This window comes from Homo sapiens, chromosome 7 (assembly GCF_000001405.40).
Source record: "Homo sapiens chromosome 7, GRCh38.p14 Primary Assembly".
NCBI lineage: Eukaryota > Metazoa > Chordata > Mammalia > Primates > Hominidae > Homo > Homo sapiens.
In genome coordinates this window covers 108814547-108833858 of record NC_000007.14, presented here as the reverse complement: position 1 = coordinate 108833858, position 19312 = coordinate 108814547, and the positions used below count along the sequence as shown (strand labels likewise).

The following is a 19312-nucleotide window of genomic DNA, read 5'->3' as shown; positions in this document are numbered from 1 at the left end:
ATATAAGGAACTCAAACAACTAATAACAGAACAAAAAATTCCAATTAAAAATGGGCAAAATATCTGAATAAACATTTATCAAAGACATACAAATGACCAACAAATATATGAAAAAATGCTCAGCATCACTAATCATCAGAGAAATGCAAATCAAAACCATAATGAGGTATTGTCTCACCCAAGTTAAAATGGCTTTTACTCAGAAGACGAAAAATAACAAATACTGGCAAGGATGTGGAGAAAGAGAAATGCTTGTACCCTGTTGGTGGGAATGTAAATTAGTACAGCCACTATGGAAAACAGTATGGAGTTTCCTCAAAAAACTAAAAATAGAACTACCATATGATCCAGCAACCCCCTGTTGGGTACGCAGCCAAAACAAAAGAAATCAATAAATCGAAGAGTTATGTGCACTCTACACTCCACATTCCTGTTTATTGCATCATGATTTACAATAGCCAAGATATAGAATCGACCTAAATGTTCATCAAATCAACATATGAGTGAATTTAAAAAATGTGGTACATATACACAACGGAATATTATTCAGCAATGAAAATAATGACATCCTGTTATTTGCAGCAACACGGATGAAACTAGAGTTCGTTATGTGAAATAAGCTGGGCACAGACAAATACCACATGTTCACACTCATATGTGGGAGCAAAATAAAGATGGATCTCACAGAGATAGAAAGTTATTTGGTAATTACGAGAGGCTGAGAAGCAGGGGGATGAAGATCAGTTGATTCACGGGTACAAAAATACAGTTAAATAGAAGGAATAAGGTCTAGTGTTTGATAGTATTGCTGGGTAACTATACTTAACAATAATGTATTCTATAGTTCAAAATAGTTAGAGGAGAAGAACTGGAATGTTCCTAACATAAAGAAAAGATAAATGTTTAAGGTGATAGATATCTCAATCACCCTGATTTGATCATTATACATTGTATGCATATAGCAAAATATTACATATAACCCCCAAATATGTACAAATATTATGTATTAATACAAGAAATATCAATAAAAATACAACTGTTAAATGATAAACTGAGGCACATTAAAATTTAAGGAGTTTTGCAAATGTGTCTTCAGAAGAGTGAAATAAAGAAAACGGGAGTTTATTTGAGCAAACGATGATTCATAAATCAGGCAGCATTAAGTGGGAAGTGATTTGGGGCTCCAAGGGAGGAGTTTGAAGGGAAGGCTTTTATAGGATAAATGCAGAAGCAGAGTAACAGCATGATTTCATTGGTTAAAATTTGAGCAGTTTTTGTATATGGTTTATCTCAGTGAAAAATTCATTATTATATAACTTAATGCTCCTTTGGCCATCTGTGATTAGCAAAACTTAATTTTCATTTTGTTTACATAGGAACCCAGGACATTGGAGCCATCTCAGCCTACTGACTTCCATTAAGTTATTTTATTACTGCTTTGTGAAAGCCCTTCTATGCACTTATTGAAGAGACAGTTTCCTTAGAATAGGGCAAGTAAAATGCCTCCACAATGTGCTCAATGTTGCACGTGCATGATGTTAGCAAATAATCTGCTTACTTAAATGAATTTCTCATTTGTTGAAGAATAAAAAAAAATGAGCATCTAATAGAAAAAGCATTTTTCCTTTCAGATACATCTATCATAGAACTTTTGTCTTAAGATGGAAATGAACAACTCCTAACCCAAAAACTCCTGCATTGTGCCTTCTATCACATCCAAAATTCCTAAAAAGACCTGTTGTCTTCTAAATATTCTTTTAAATGTTATCTAGAAGAATAACATTAATTCATCAATGGCCATCAATCTATAAATGAAGATTGACTTAACAGACAACAGTAATGGGATAAGGAACTAATGCCTTAATAGGAATGCAGCAAAGTGAAGATTTAGATTCAATTGTAGGTTTGATGCTCAGGCTTGGGGAGACCTGCCTCAGAAGAAGCTATGTGGCTTCCCATAGCCAGGCGAAGCATGAAGAAACTGAAGCCAACGGGGTGCAAAGATGAGAAATGAAGACAGGCGAGAACTGTTAGGGATAAAGCCAAGTCACCATTTTGGCATTTTGCTGACTTTGTCCTGTAGCCCCTTCATCTGGAGAATTTATAAGCACCTGCCTTCATGGAGCATGCAAGTAGAAGCTGCTTGGCTAAGAGAAAGCCCATATTTGCAAGTCAAATAAACGAAAATTGAAACCCAAGCTCCAACAACAGCTATGTGACCCTGAACATCACCTCTATAAATCTCAGTTGCCCATTTCTAAAATGGGCAAAATAATTCCTACATACATACCTGTGAGAATTAAAAGATGGGTATGTAAAGTTCCTAATATGGTGCTGCTTCTTTTCCTTCACCTGCTCACTCTTCAGTGAAAGAAAGGGGGAAGTGGGAAGCACATCTGAGGCACTTGTGAGTCAGTTACTGAATTTGCTTTTGAGTATTTGCATCTTTTTTAAAATTCTGCAGTGATTTGCAGGAAGAAATAAACATCATGAATATAAACTGATTACATCTTATTTTCTGTCATTTCAGTACTCTTGTAGAAAAGGTGAGCATAGATTTGGAATACTATGCATCCTTATGAAATAAAACAAAACAACATTAATTTGTTGAGGATTCATTGTGTTTGGCACTGGGGGAAATGCAAAGAAATATCAGACACAGTTTCTGCACTAAAGGGTTAACAATTGATTTGAAGTTCAAGACAAGTGAAAAGTTCCAGAGCCACAAAAAATTAAATAACTCAAGATATAATATGAAATGTGTCATCAGGCAGTTTATTATTAACTTCCAAATGAGTTGCACAGACAATAATTGTTATACAAACTTAGAAGAAAAAGAAATCACCCCTGCATACGTGTAGTAAGGAAGATTTGGAGCAGAGAGTGAAAATTGGTGGCCTACGGGCAGAAATCAACCCATAGGCCTATTTAGTTTGAAATTCTTAATGGTTTTGTTTTGTTTGGGGTTTTGTTTCCTTTTTTAATAAGTTGACAGTGTTAAAAATAGGGAGAATAATGCCTTTAGTCCAAAGAAGGCCTTTCTAAAGGCTAAATTGGTTGTCTTGGGAATTTGAGGAAAGAGAAACAAAAGAGGACATCCAACTATAGTCTTCTCTGCAATCAGTGCATTCATTTGTGAATAGCATCTCCCTTCTATCTGGGCACTTCTAACATCAAAATATATTCCCTGTTTTTCCTGCTGTCAAAAATTCTTTATAATTGCATCCTTAAAGATACTCACTATTTTTGAGCTACCAATGATAATTAAAATCTTCAGGGTAAAAACCAGCAGTTCCTCCTCCTAGGTGATTATCAGCTTAGAGCTGGCTTCACAGGCTGACCACTTCATAATAAAATGAACAGGTAGGTAATTAAATCCTCAAATCTGTAAGAACCCACAGGACCTAAATCCAGCAAGCAATTTTACATTTGAGGCATTTTGGGAATCAGGCAAATGAATAAACAGATACCTTAGATTGGATCCCAGCATATACTCTGACTGCAAAGTAGCAAAATAGACACAAAAGAACTTTGTTCAGTCACTGCCTTTTTATTTAACACCACTATGTTGGTAGAACAGTGAAACATTCTTATTTAAATATTCAGAAGCCCAGGATGGTTTGTCCTCCAAAAACTTTTCTTTGTCATCTAAACATGTGTCTATCCTTGGGGGATTTAATTGATCTTTACTGCCTCAAGTTGCTTCAAAATTTATTTCATTCATCGAAAGCACCAAACGTTCTGTGAACCGATCTGCCTATCCAAAAGATTTTTTTCACATACTATTTCAAAGATGGTTCTGCTCACATACTAACTTTTACTGAGTAACTCAGCAAATTTTCATCTTATCTTAATAGCACTTTAGTCTGGATTTAACTTCTGAATGTTAATGGGCAGGAGAATCACTCGTATCTATTTGATGTTGGAAGCAACAATTTGAAATAGGAGGAGAAAAGATAAATATTCTCTTTTATTATTATTTTCATAGAGACAGGGTCTCACAATGTTGCCCAGGCTGGTCTTGAACTCCTGGGCTAAGCGATCCTCCTGCCTCGGCCTCCCAAAGTGCTGGGATTACAAGCATTAGCCACCATATCCAGCCAAGATAAATATTTTCTAGCAGAGAAGAGCCACTAAACTATACATATCATTCTCATACCAAACTAAAACATCCCAACATATGCAAATGGGACTTTCCAAAAATAAGAGATTCTTTTTCATCACAAAACATTTAATGTTTTTTATAGAGGACCCCTTTAGACAAACCTTGCCTCAGAGCTTTACAAATATTAGACACTTGGTTTGTTTTGTTGAATATAAATTAAATGACTAAATGAGATGTTCATCAACATCCAAATTTTATTTTCTACATGATTTCCTAGGAGTGAGGATATTTTTATTATCTGACAATGTTTATTCTGTGGAGTTTAAGATCATCTTCACCCACTAATCTCCTTAAGAGAAGATAAAAACAATTTATTTTGGTCAAGCTTAGGGAGTTTACAAGCCAGTCACGTTTAAAGTTAGCCCTGAGGATATCCAGGAATCTGCTATAAATTCTTTCCATTTATAGAGTTTCAGAGGATGAATGGCATTAGCCCACTAAACTGGCATCTCAGCCACTTGGAGTTATAATTAAACAGACTGCAATCTTTTGGTGAAATGCCCATTTTTGCAGATACAGAGAAAAAACTTATGGAGGGAAAAGTGACCTTTGTCACTACCTAATATTAATGTATTTTCCACCTAAACTGATATAGGGAAATAAATAAATAAAAATAATGATGTTGCTTTGAATTCAAAGCAGACAAGTCTGTGCTATAAGCAATGCTAGAGAAAGGATCAAATATGTCTCCCAAGGTATATAGCTCTAAAACTAGGACAGCATTGCAATTAGTTTTCTCTACTGGGCAAAATCTACGTTTTTGAAGAAGCAATACCTCCTCCCAGACACCCATGTAAGTATAAAACAATATATGGTCACAGAGCTCATAAAACTAGACCAAAGCTGACACAGTCAAAGTTGCCCTAGCATATACATGCTCATTTAGGCAGTGGGAGGATGGCAAGGCCTCCAAAGCTCAAGCTTCTGTTTTGTTCCAGTCCCATGGCATCACTCTCTACAGCATAGAACTGAACACAGGCAACATATTAGCTGTGTATTAAAGGGGTGAGTTTAGCTGGGTACAGTGGCTCAAGCCTGTAATCTCAGCATTTTGGGAGGCTGTGGCAAGCTGATCACTTGAGTCCAGAAGTGTGAGACCAGCCTGGGCAACATGTAAAACCCCGTCTCTACGGAAAAATTCATAAATTAGCCGGGCATGGTGGTGCATGCTTGTAGTGCCAGCTACTCAGGAGGCTGAGGTGGGAGCATCACTTGAGCCCAGGAGGTAGAGGCTGCAGTGAGCTGAGATCCCACCATTGCACTTCATCCTGGGAGACAGAGCAAGACCTTGTCTAAATAAATAAATAAACAAATAAATAAATAAATAAAGGGGTGAGTTTCAATTTTATCTCAGTTTAGAAAAGTGGGAATTTCATTGTGTAGCTTTCCCTTTGCTGTGAAACCTCCTCTTTCCTCAGTTGCTATTCACTCTTCAACTGCAGCTTCTAACCTTCTTACTCCACTGAAGCTACTCTCACCATGTGACATCACCCATGACATCCTAATTACTCAATAGTGTTGACATTTTAACACCTTATTTTAATACCTTTCTGCAGCACTTGGCAGGGTGGCTACTCCTTCCTCCAATCCTTCTCCCTAATAGATCTCATGACCTCATGTTTTACCAGTTCTCTTTCTACCTTCCACTTTTGATATTTCTTCATCTCTTTTGTGGAACTCTTCCACTGCCTACTCCTAAAACATCCGTGTTCCCAGTATTGTGTTCTTTCTGGAAAGGATTATGTTCTGTTTCATGGTTTTAATTATAGCTTATTCATTAATAAAACCCATAGTGATTGCCAGGGGCTTGGGGGAGGGGCAAAGGAACAGTTGTTGTTTAATGGGTGTAAAGTTTCAGATTTGCGAGATGAAAAAATTATAAAGGTCTGTTTCACAACAATGTGAACATACATGATATTATGAAACTGTACACTTAACCATGGTTAAAATGGTAAATTTGTTATTTACCATTTGTTTTTCACCACAATAGACAAATAGACACAGCTATCTATCTATCCAGTGTAACCCATGCAACGGCTACCCCCGCTAAATCTGTTGTGAGGTATCAACACAACTGGCTTCAAGATGGTTGCACCTGCTCTAGGCTTCACATTCTCACACATCAATGGCCAGAGACAGAAAAGAGAACTTCTTTTTCTTTCATTCTCTTCTTAAACATTAAGGAACTTTTCTTGTAGAGCCCAAAAAACATCCTTTTATTTCTCATTAACCAGAATTGAATCAAAGAACAGTATCAACACAACAGGAACTGACCATTCAAGCTGAGCAGCCTCTCAGCATCCCTTGTTGAGGATGAAGCTAGTCTCACCTTCCCAGATCACATGGCTGCACAGAGAAGGCTGAGGGAACAAAGTCAGAGCTCCACCAGCAAGGAAGAATGGATATGGTACAGATGTAGTGGGGTACCAGCTGTATGTGCTACACTGATCTCTCCCCTAAGCAAGAGACCCATGGATACAACTCTTTCCAAAACATCTACTCCATATCAAATTTATATACACTGCTTTTGCCATGAGAATTCTTCTTATGCTTCCTATTCCATTTTATAACACTCCTGTATAATAAAAAGCCTAGTCAGAAACCTGGGCAGGGTCTTCAACTCCTTCCTTTTCCTATACAAGCAATCCTGAAATCTGATCATGGTGACTCTCCATTTCATTTCTATGGCCAGTTCCTCCTAACTCAACTCCCTGTCTCTAGCGTGGCCTTTCCTCATAAGTCCAACTTGCTGACCTGATGACAACAAGGGCTATTAATCTGAAACACAAACTGACCATGTGATTCTGTTTATGGATTGTCTAAAAGAGGGGCTCCATAACCATGACTTCCCTGAAATGAGATGCAAAATTTTTTGAATATGTATGTGAAACATTTTTTGTGAAACAAATTTTTGAATAAGTATGTGAAACATTCTGATAGATTACTTCTGAAAAGTCCTTGACCCAGTAAAGCTTCAAAAACTACTGACATAATGGACACAAATCCAAGATATTTTGCATGGAACATAAGGACATTTCATAATCTGCTTCTTCATTATCTCTTCAGACTCATCTCTTACATCTCTTTCCCTTATATCTTATGCTCCACCAAAAGTAAACTACTTGCAGTTACTCAAGCACGACTCTGTGCCTATGCACAAACCAGTACATCTTTCTAGATTACTTTCCCTGCCATAATCCAATTAGTACACGTCAATGCATCCTTCAGAATCCAGCTTGTATATCACTTCCTCTGTAAAGTCTCCATTTGTGACCTCAGAATGTATCAACTGCTTCTATATACTTTTATTCTATAGATATTTTTCTATTTATGATACATTTGTCACTATAATGTATATTTTCTTATTTCCTCCACCAAACTGTGAGCTGCCTGAGGAGAGATTGTCTGATTCTTTTTCAGTGTCTCCATCTCCAAGAAGAGATCCTAATACAAAGTAGGTGTTCATGATGTATTTGTTGAAAAGAACTATTTGAAAATACGTTATGTCCATAGTTAACATATAATAATGCAATGTGGATTAACCAGATATGGAGAATTATTCTTATAACTGCTTCCTCTCTCTTACGTAGGTTTGACAGCAATAATTCTCAAACTTCAGTGTGCACCAGACTTAGCAGTGAAACTTTCTAAAATTACGGAAAGAAGCTTCAGGCCCTATCCCACACCTGCAGAGCCAGAATCTCTAGGGCTGGAGCCCTGGTGCCTGCTTTTTTAATAAACCATCCAAATGAATCCAATAACTTCTGCTCTCAAGAATTGACAGAAATCGCTTTCCATTCCAGGACAAGAACCAAAGACAAATTCCTATTTGTCTCCTCTTCATGATCTTAGGCAGAAGGGTCTGTCACTACTGAAGACAACAAAGGATAATTCACTTTAGTCAGTGCTGACTTGCTTGGAGAAGAAATGTAAAAGCACTCAAAGGCAGAAAATAAAAGCAGTTCCAGTCCTGGAAGTCATTTGGACAGTTCCAGTTGAAGAGCCAAAGCAGAAAATTAACATTCTAGCTCCTAGAAATTTTATTTTCGCCTTTCTTCTAGGCATAATTTATAAGTCAAATAGAATTGCTTTGGCCTGGGTGATTTTGCATAATGGTTCCTAGCATGGTATTATGGTCTGCATTCAGCATTATTTTTCTTACATTTCTGTAGAGCAATGACAGCACTATTCCCCAAGCATCCCAACAAAGCTCTCAGCCCACACCCAGCTGCTGCCCAGGCCAGTGACCTGTGGAAAGACAAAGACAAGAATGCTATGCAATAAATCAGAAATGGCCTGGAAGATAAACCTGGCCAAAGAACTGAGTGCCTGCAGCCAGACTACAGCTGTTTTCTCTTTGGGCAGCAAGGAGGAAGCAAGTGTGACTCCTCAGACTCCCTCAAGCCCTGCTGATCAAGACAATGGTTCTTCTTCATTACTCATCTATATGAAATAGTTCAGACATTGCTGTTTACTTATTTATAATAAACCTAATTACTCATCTTATTGCCATACCTTGTCTTCCCAGTCTTATTTATGCATTGCTTACCTGGGTAAATACGGTGGCCACAGAGGTGCCTCACTTCCATTACCATTCAGCAGAACTTACTGTGGGAAACATAGCTGATGGAAAGCTCCAACTTCTGCCCCTTCGGATTCACCAGGCAATACTTTCCTCAGTCTGCTCCCAGCCAATGACTCAGCACAGTGGGAGTGCTGGATCCAGCCCATTTCTGCCTGCCACAGGAAGCCCCGTCATGGGAAACTTTGGCTCAGAGCTGAGACATAGCCAGAATTGCATTGAAGTTTGAGTATTTTCCTACTCAATTCTTTCTCTCTTTTCTTTTTTAGATGTCAGACCTAGATTGTGGTCTGAAGACTTATCCTGCTTCCACCTTCTTTATTTTTCACAGGTGTTTCCCCTCAATAAGTCTCTTGCATATCTAATCCCCATCTTGGCTTCTTGAAGGATCCATACTGACACTGTGTTTGCTGTGTTAAAGATAATTGTAAGTTCTTTGCAACTACTCTCATTAAAAGGTGAAAGCCCTGTAAGACAAGGCTTCCAACCATCCACACCAATATGCCAGATATGCAAGTGAAAACATCTGGGAACCTCCAGCCCGGTCCATCTGCCAGCTGAGTACCACTAAGTAATCTCAATCAGCATCATGCAGATCACCCAGCCAAACTCTGCCTGAATTCCTGGCCCATATGATTTTGAAAAGAAATAAAATGCTTGTTCTTTTGTGGTAGTTTGCAGCAATAGTTTACCAGAATAGGTATCATTTTCTTTTCTTTTTCTCTCCTGTTTTGTTAAGTTAAAAATTAACAGCTTATTTACATAATTTCCCACAAAAGAAAAGGTTTTAAGAGTCTATATGGAGGAACATTTTACATAGTGTTTAAGGCTACAATTTTTAAAGTAATATTAGATTATTCCAATATAACCTGTTGAGTTGAATGGAAAGTCCTTGAAATTTCAGGTGCTAAGAAAGCAACTTTCAAAAGCTTTTCTACCTATGGGTCTTTAATTCATTGGACCACTTTCTAGTAGAAACCAACTCAATAATCTTCCAGGTAGTATGCAATTCTATAAGATTTTTTCAGCACAAAAGAGGTGGAGGGATGCAGTGGAAGCTTTTCAAAAAATTGTGGCTGTTGAAAAGAGCATGCTGCTGCAGGCTGATTTGAAATGGAACACTGATTTTATTTTGATCAATAAATCTAGATAACACAAGGCATTACCATTCTCAAACATTGCGGTTTTTGCTTCATTTTAACTGAATGTGTCTTGTGGAATCTTGCTTTATTCCATAAAACAGAATGACAATTTTTTCTCCGCAGCCAGACAAGCTAGACCTATCTGAAATCAATCTTTCAGCATGGCAAATACATTGTAAATTATAAGGCAATGTGTATACTAAAGCAAGTGTCGTAGTTAATTTTAACAATTTTTTAAAAGCATGTCGGGGTTTTGATAATACCAGAGAGATGAAAATGTCTTACACAGCATGCCAGATCAGCACAGTTTTCAATTTGAGATTAGAGGCCATTGACTAACATGTCATCAAGTTCACATAGTATTTATGGTTGATCTGCTCAAGAAATTAAAAGCATTGAATCTTGGACATGACACAGATGTGAAAGACTAAAACACAACACTTGAAAATATTTCAGTTGTGATAAATATATACCTTTAATAGATGCTTTATTTTTCAAGAAACCACACCTGCTTTGAAATTACAGGTCCACGGAAATCTTATGCCCTGGTGTCAGTGTCCCTTAGATTCATCTATAATGTAGGCCACTGCAATAATTTTGCCCTTAAATTAATTGATCCCACAGATGAAAACTGTACAATCTTTGCTTTTCACCGTATCTTTAGAAGCCATTTTTCTTTTGCCTATCTCAAGAACCCTACTCTTTTGAAGTATATCATCCACTCATATATACATACATCCACATATTCCCTCTGTTAGAAAAAGTGTCTTAAAAAGAAAAAGAAAATCATTTAGGAAAACATAAACTGTTTCATTTTTGCAAGGGAAGGATGTGTGGAGTTTTTTCTCTTTAATAATTCTGTCTTTTTATTTTATTGTGGTAAGAAAATGTAACGTGATTTATCCTCTTAAATTCTTAATTGTACAATGCATTACTGTAGACTATAGGTACAATGTTGTACAGCAGAACTCTAGAGCTTGTTTATCTTGCTTAATAGAAACTTACGCCCATTGATTAGTAGCTTCCCATTCCACCCTATTTTCCTGCCATTATATTATAGTAGTTCAGCTGGTGATCAAGCTTTGGGATTGATTAAGAAAGCTGATTTGAAATACAAAGATTGGAAGATCTGCTTTTCTACTCCTTTCACCTCTTCACTTTCTTTTTTGGTGATTCTATCCACCCTCTTGGTTTTAACTACCACTTCTTGGCAAATGACTAAAATAACCTACAAGTCTAGCCCAGACTTCTCTCCTAAGCCCACTTCTGAATTTCCACCTGTCTATAGCACATTTCAACATAGTTTTTCTCTTCACAACTCAAACCCAACATTTTACACAAGTTCTGTAAATACTCATTTAATCTAAAACCTGCATTTTTTTCAGATGTAATAACTGAATCCTAGAGTACTTTACTGGGTTACATATAGCTGCCTATTGGAAATAAACCTATAATTAAAATATGTTTCTCTAGAAATAATTAATAAAACCAAAGTATGTTCTTGGAGATGCCTAACAAAATTTTTAAAACCATTAATTTATCAAGAAAAAAAGAGAGGGCATTTAAAAAATTATCACTATCAGGAAAGGATGATTTTTGATTCTTGAATGTTCATTTATTCTTTATTATAGATTTTGGTTCTCCAGGGAAATTCTCCATTTTCTTTTCTCTTTTTCTTGAACATAATTTTTAGAATTATTTTACATTTCAATATCTGAATCACCTTAGGTGTTTCTGTTTTCTATTTCTTCCAGTAGTCTTGTCTAGTAATGTGTCAGGACATTGTACACAAAAGTCATAAAAGATCCAAAAGGGTGAGTTCTGTCTCCAAAGAGGGCTTCTTAAGCTTCTGGGAGGGAGCTGGAGTAGGAGCAGGACCATTATCTCAATCAGAGTTTAAGTTGATTGACTTGAAGGTTTCAATCTTTATCAGGGTTATTCTAATTCTGATTTTCTCTTATTCTTTGCATGCAGTCCTTTAAGGCTGTCAACTAAGGATCTGGACCCGTCTACCTGGCAGACCCTACCTTCAGTTTTATCTCCGCAGCACTACCAGCTGCGGAGATGGCTGCTTTCTGCTTAGCCTCTCTACCTCCTGGCCTGCACTGCCTCAAGAGGAAAAGTGGCATACAAGACAACTTCTCTGCAATTCCCTTTACTCTAGGATTATGACTTCTCAAATCCTGACTGCCTTGGTAGCCATCCAATGACTCTAAGCAGATGCCTTTCTGTATTTTATTCAGATTTTCTGGTTGCTCTCACTGGGAGGATTAGTTAGCGCCAAGCCAGTTTATCATACCTGGAAGCCTGGGTATATTTTGAAGATTTAGAGGATGGAATTTGCTGGTTCACAAATTAGATGTGAAAGGTGAATGAAAGAAACTAGTCAAGAATGACTCCAGGGTTTTCTTTATTCGTGTGTTTTTGTTCCAAAGGACTGTATGAATGAACTTGTAAATAATCAAGATGGGGAAGTCAGGAGGAGTAGGAATGGGGAAGCAGGCTTTGGGGGAAAATTAACAGACTCAGTTATGCATGCATTAAAAGTGAGATGCTTGTTACAGGTACAAGTGGTGATGTTGAATATGTAAGTGTGGAGTTCAGAGAAGCCCAAGATGAAGACCTGAATTTGTGAATCTTCAGCCTGTACCTTCAGAGTTTACAAAGTAGAGGCTGAGATACACATAATCCTGAAATGCAAAAGAGTGAGTGGTAATCTTTAAAAGATTAAAGAGCCCTTCCATGACTCTTCTACATTTTACAGCAAGATTTTCAGATCAGAATGTCTAAAGTAGAGCAGATGAATTAGGTTAATATGATTTGGCCCTGTATCCCCACCCAAATCTCATCTCAAATTGTAATGCCCACATGTTAGGGGAGGGACTTATGATCCCCACATGTCGAGGGAGGGAGGTGATTGGATTATAGGGGCAGTTTCCCCCATGCTGTTCTCACAATAGTGAATGAATTCTCACAAGATCTGATGGTTTTATAAATGGTAGTTTTTGCCTATGCTCTCAGACACTCTGTCTCCTACCACCATGTAATATGCGCCTGCTTCCCCTTCCACCATGATTGTAAGTTTCCTGAGTCCTCCTCAGCCATGTGGAACTGTGAGTCAATTAAACCTCTTTTCTTTATAAATTACCCATTTTTGGGTAAGTTATTTATAGCAGTGTGAAAATTAATGATGTAGACAGAGACAAGAATCTGTGCTTGTAAACAAATCCTACCACTCTAGTGCCCTAAAATCAAGCAGTCATAATACTTTGTTTCTCTTCTCATTCAGGTACGTGGTTTGGCACCATTAGTTTCCCTTTCTGTCCTCCTCCCAGAGGAAGCTATCTGCAAAGAGGACCCTGAGCAAGGACAGAATGGTATATATCTATTAAAAGAAAAATTAGGGAGTACCAAAGGATTTGGGGAAGAGAATGAAAACAGAGAAAGGAAATAAAGATGAAATACAAATAAATGTACACTCAAAAGCAAATAATCCTTGAGTTTTTAATATTTACTCATTTCTAAATGGATAAGCCTAGTTGGTAGTTTGGGAGTGTTTAAGCCTAACCTTTGTTATCTGTAAGGATAACATTAACTGGTAGCGGCCATTATTTGTGCAACTTGTTAAACAACTTATCAAAGTAAAGGAATACAATTGCTTTTATATATCTAAGAATCTCTAAATCTGCTTTTTAAAAGATATCTTTTCTCTGTTGGTTCCCACAATTCTCACTTATCATTTCATACACACTATTACAATGGAAGGATGGATCCACCCAAGACAAAGTCAGAATCATAAAAGTTGAAGCTTGGGTGGCTACATTTTTCAAATCTTCATACATTTCAAAGCCTTGATTAGGAAACATGGCAAATAATCTTTCACTTTTCCCCATTCTTGCCTTTATCCGGTCATAATAAGAGTGGTCCAGAGCTGCCACCATCCCTGTAAGGTACACCATCCTGTCAAGCCTAGCGTACATCAGAAGCCTCTGGTACCATTTTTCCTCTCTTGGTTTCCTTCTGGCATTTTGACCATATATGAATATGGCCAAAGATAAATGGCCATATATGAATATTCTTATATATATCTTATGGTATATCTTATTACTATATATGGCAAGACATACCGTATATATGGTATGTCTTATTCATATATAGAAGATATGCCATAAGATATATATTCTTATGGTGTTCTAGAAAGATCATTCTATCTTTCTAGAACAGCAAAAGAATCACATCACTCCCTGATGAAGAATCTACTACTTTGGTTTACTACTAGTCCGAGTTTTTCGTTTTTGTTTTGTTTTGTTTTGTTTTGTTTTGTTTTGTTTTTAATTCGAGACCCCTAAAATACTCTCATATTTATATTTCTTTGCTTCTAATTTCAATCTCTCTAATGTGTTATAGATCAAAAGTTCAATTTTGGTTATATTTTATTTTGTTCCATAAAGTCTTCATGTGACTTATAACATAGCATACTGTTTGTGTATAATGTATGATGTAATCAATACCAGTTTCTTAAGATGTTGAATTCAAATTGGCACCAGAGAGGCCACCAAAGAGGACATTTAGTGTCAGGACAACAAAATTCTAGCATCAGACCTGATGATAACCAGTTGTGTGACCGTAAGACGATAATTTCATGTCGTTAAGCCTCTATTTGACTATTTGCATAAATGCAAAGATTGGATTCAGTTGTCTCTCGAGTCTTTATAATTCTATTGCTTTATAAGGCTCTTAGTTCTCATAGAGAAGGGCAAATTAATGACCAAAAATGAGTAGCATTAGCTTACAAGACAGTGATTTTATAAGAAATATACAACAACTTACTAAACTAGATGGTACTACATGTAATAGCTACATAAATTAACAATTAATCTTCATAGGGCTTTTAATTTGTTTCTTGTTTTTGTCATTTGTGCAAAGTGTTTTGGCATTTGTTGATAATCTAACACAGTCTACGTCTGACTTATGTGTCTGCTATACACACACTCTAATATATCCAGACAATTCCAATTGCTTGGAGTCTGCTCACATCTGGTCACAATGAAGATAAAGCTGTAATAAAATTTCTAAAAATAAGTTAAAATTATCTCAGAAGCCAAAAACCAATAACCATAATAATAGAGATTGCTACATCCGGTGAAAAATGAGGAGAACTACTGCAGATTCCCCACATCTTGGTCATTTTTCCCTCCAAATGTTGCTCATATTTTCACCCATACAGATTACCCTGTATCATACTATCTGTCCAAATCCATCATTTCTTTCAAGGTCAGGCTCAAAACTCACTTCACTGCTCCTTCCTTCCTATCACTCCTTTATTTCTTATGAGACAGATGCCAGACTTAGCTATGCTTTATTCCCTGCCCATTTGTGAACTCTCTCTCCCACTTTCAACATCTGCATCAAGGTACCATCATCATTTCTCTCCCTAGCTGTTCTCCCTAGCCAGATGTGGATGAGACACATCCAGATGGGCTCTCTCCAACTCCTCATCCCCCTCCCCTGTGTGCTATGCCAAACTTTGACTATATCCTATCCTGTTCTTTGGATTACATGCATATTAAGGCAAAAAAAATTGATTATTTAATTTGTAGCACATACAAACAGGAATGAAAATCTATTTATTGAATTTAAAAGTTACAGCAGGTTATAGAGACTTTGGCTGTTGTGGAAAAGTAAAAAAAAAAAAAAGATAAAAAGACTTCTGCATAGTAGGATTAGCTTTACCATGTATCAGTCTTGTTGGATGTTAAATCTTTTGTCAACACACAGGATGACCCATGGAATTCTTCTGATTACTAGGTAGAGGACAGAAACCGTTCCAGATAATACTAACAGCCAGGTTTCAAAGATGCTTTTGGGAAAAATGAAGCTTTTAAGAGGTAAATGGTGGTTAAAGGCACAGGTTCTGGATTCAGACTGCCCAGGTTCAACCCCTCTACCAATTACCAGCACAGAGACCTTGAGCAAGTTACTCTACATCTCTGTACCTAAATTTCCCAATAATAAAATGGGGATAGCAAAAGCTATTACCTCATGAAGTTTTTGTTAAATTAAGTTGTTCACACACATGGAGTGCGTAGAATAGATAAGCGTTTCCCATTATTGTTGCTGTTGTTAAGGGGTCCCTCATGTCAAACATCCAAAGCAGTAAATTAAGAACTGATGGTGCTGTTACAAAGGCTGTAATTTTTTAATTTTAATTTTAATTTTATTTTTATCAAACCATTGAGAATTTTCACAATTAATCAAGCCTGACTCAAGAAACACATGATTCTGCAAGAATCATGCGGAACACAAAAGAGGATCATCATACACACAAAAATTTTTAAAAAGACACACACTAGATCCAGAAGAGAACATTCCTTTAGTGTCCAATTCCTTAGTTGTCAATAATACCATAACAATTCTGTGAGTCATAATACAGTTTACCATATGTATAAAGTTTAATATTTCTGTTTATTAAGTAGTATATTAATTAAAAACAATGACTATATACATGAATTCAGCTTCTCACCTAGTCACATTTAATGTTGTCTTTATAAAACCTAAACTTATAAGAGTGTCTAAGTGGATATTTGTACCACGTGATTGAAAGTGTCTGCAGCAGCTGTAACTCGGGATCAGGGGATGGACAGATGGGGCAAGAAGCCCTTCCTACAAAATGGTGCCTTAAGGGGATCTATTCCTCCACATGCTGCCAATCAAATATGGAATCCTCTGAGGTGCCCTGTGAATTATTACAGAGGCATTTGCAGGTTAATTTAAAGGAAGGGGTTCAACCATTTCACGTAATCCACCACCTTCCTTTCTAGGATTCTTTCCATGGAGACAGTGAGCTTCTTCTTGCCTTCTTTCTCCCCTTCTGCATAGCTGCTCCTTACACTCCTCCCCACCTAGGATTCTGCACAAACAGCCTTACTAAGGAGACAGTGCCAGAGGTGTCTTCTTCCAAGAGCTGTCTTCCTTTCTTCTGGAAGGCATAGGAGACAGGCCGTGTGACCCCTTACTGCTTTTCCCACCAGTAAAACAGTAATTCTATGTAATTTCTATTCTCTCATCTCCTTGCACATCATTTTCCTCTCTTCTTATGTCTTTTCTCCCTTTCATTTAACAAGTTATGTTCCTGACCACTAGTGTCAGCTATTAACCTCAGGAAAATATATGTCCCCTCTCTTCATTCTATGTATGGGTTGAAAAGTTAGTCCAATCTCCATGATTTAACAATAGTGCCAACAACATATGTGTGTTTATTTAAGAGAGAAACTGAAATTTTGTCATATATGTTGTTATTCTTATCTCTGATTTTTCACAGCAAGGATCCTGAGCCCTGATTCTAGGAGAGTTCATCCTCACCATACCTCATCCCTCCAACTGACTTATAAAAGGAGGGTGATGATGTAGCTTGCCAACAATAGCCTCTGCTAATTTGACTGCTTTTGTCAGATGATGATGAGAATGATGAGACATTGATCCCTAAGATATATCTGAAACTACCCTTTAGGAAAGAGGATTTTCCCTTGCTGAGAGGCAAGGCAGACACCTGAGCAGGGCTGTGCTATCAACGTCCCAGTGCTGCATGGCCTTCGGTAGTCAATAAAACGTACCCCAAAGAAGATCAGAGGTGTTACTTCATGAAAGGCACAACTATGGGTGACTAGCTGGGAAACTAGACACATTTACCTTGTAAACAGAGAAGATATGACTCAAGAGGAAAGCTCCAATACCTATTATAGAAGGTATGCTTGTACTTAAAAACAAACAAAATGTAAGCCAACTTAGCCAAGGAGAACTCCGAAACTCTCTATAACCTCACTTGCCTCAACAGTCAGGAAACATAGGAAAAGCTATGATTGCTCTTGGTGCAGATATCTATCTGACCAGCAGACAGCACAACTGAAACCAGGCCAGCAGTGGGCAGCAAGCCTAACAAGCCACAGAGCCCGTATTAGTGAAAAGCAATGATCTAATCAGGCCAGCAGCAGACCCTAGGGGCTATTTATGCAGCACCTATTGTGGCCAAGTCCTAGACTGTGAGCTGTTAACTATGTTTGCATTTATTCCTCATAATGTCAAGAGTTGGACACTATTATCTCCATCTCAGGCAAGAAAAAACCAAGACCCAGCAAAACTGAGTTACTGTCCCAAGGTCATACAGCTCATGAGGGAAGCCAGTCTTGTGGGAGTCTGTGTGACTCTTTAGCCTTTCTACCATCCGAGAGTCTCCTGAAAAGACAGGCAGCATGTAGAGGAAAGTGTAGAAAACTATCTCACCAGAAGATTCACACCATAAGAGGATGGTGAAGAAAATAGCTGAGAAAAGAACTTCCTGAGAATGGCTGAAACTATAACCTAAAGATTACTAGTTGTAGTTGTTGAACAGTTATCATTACTGCATAGTTATTTATGGATAATTATTCAACAATTATAGATGATATATTCATGGAGTATGCATAAAAATGCCCAGTACCTTCTAATTAAGGAACTTGTGAAGAGAACACAAAGAATGTACTACCCTCTGTACAAGGGCAGAGACAATTCGCCTGATTGGTACTGGGAAATGTCAAGAAATGCTTCAGAGGAGGAATCTCTTTATCTGAGTTTTATAAACTAGTGGAACAGAAAGGTGCTGTTGAGGGTGGAGATAAGAATTCCCTGCAGAGGGCATGAGCAAATGAGTGGAGACCTGACACAGCATAACTTGATCTATAAAGAGAAAGTTGTGTTTTGTTGTTGTTGTTGTTGTTGTTGTTGTTGTTGTTGTTGTTGTTGTTCGGTAAAATTTACATATAGTAAAATGTACACTTGAATGAATTTTGGCAAACATATTCAACTGTGTCCTTCACACCCCAATCAGGATATAGAACATCGTCACCACCCCCTACAAGAAAGATCGCCTGTATCCCTTTCAGTCAGTTCCTTCCAATCATAGTCAATCTCTGTTCTAATTTGTATTACCATAAATTGGTTTTGCCTGGTTTCGAATTTCATGTTAATGAAATCATGTGTCTGGGTATCAATATAAAGTTTCTGATGTTTGTTCATGTTGTGTGCATCAGTAGTACATGCCTTTGTGTTGCTAAATATTATTCCATTGTATGGATGTACTATAATTTGTTCATCAATTCAACAAGCAAGTTGTTTGAGATGGCTAATGCACAGAACTTTTGTAGAGTTGGATTGAGGAATGGGGACTGTATCTAAAAATGAACGTGAAAAGATAAACATGTGTCAAATCATGGCATATGGTTTACTAAGGAGTGTGAACATTGTCCTAAGAACAATATTAATAAGTTTCAGGGCAAGGTTAGGGGGTCGTATACAATCAGACATCAATACCAAGTGTATTAGTCTATTTTCACACTGCTATAAAGACATACCTGAGAATGGGTAACTTATGAATAAAAGAGGTTTAAC

At 37.3% G+C, this 19312-nt stretch overlaps 1 long non-coding RNA gene across 1 annotated transcript in view, besides 1 other annotated feature; it reads right to left on the bottom strand.

Annotated features, from left to right (window-relative positions):
• Positions 1 to 19312, bottom strand: part of LOC107986836 (uncharacterized) — a 57428-nt gene that overhangs the window by 7491 nt on the left and 30625 nt on the right. The window lies entirely within an intron of this gene.
• Positions 7954 to 9153: an enhancer, noted in NCBI's record as "CDK7 strongly-dependent group 2 enhancer chr7:108465150-108466349 (GRCh37/hg19 assembly coordinates)". NCBI's record gives its function as "activates an origin of replication core promoter dependent on BRD2, BRD4, P300/CBP, MED14 and CDK7 cofactors, with strong dependence on CDK7, by STARR-seq in HCT116 cells {active_cell/tissue: HCT116}" and the evidence as "EXISTENCE:reporter gene assay evidence [ECO:0000049][PMID:35650434]".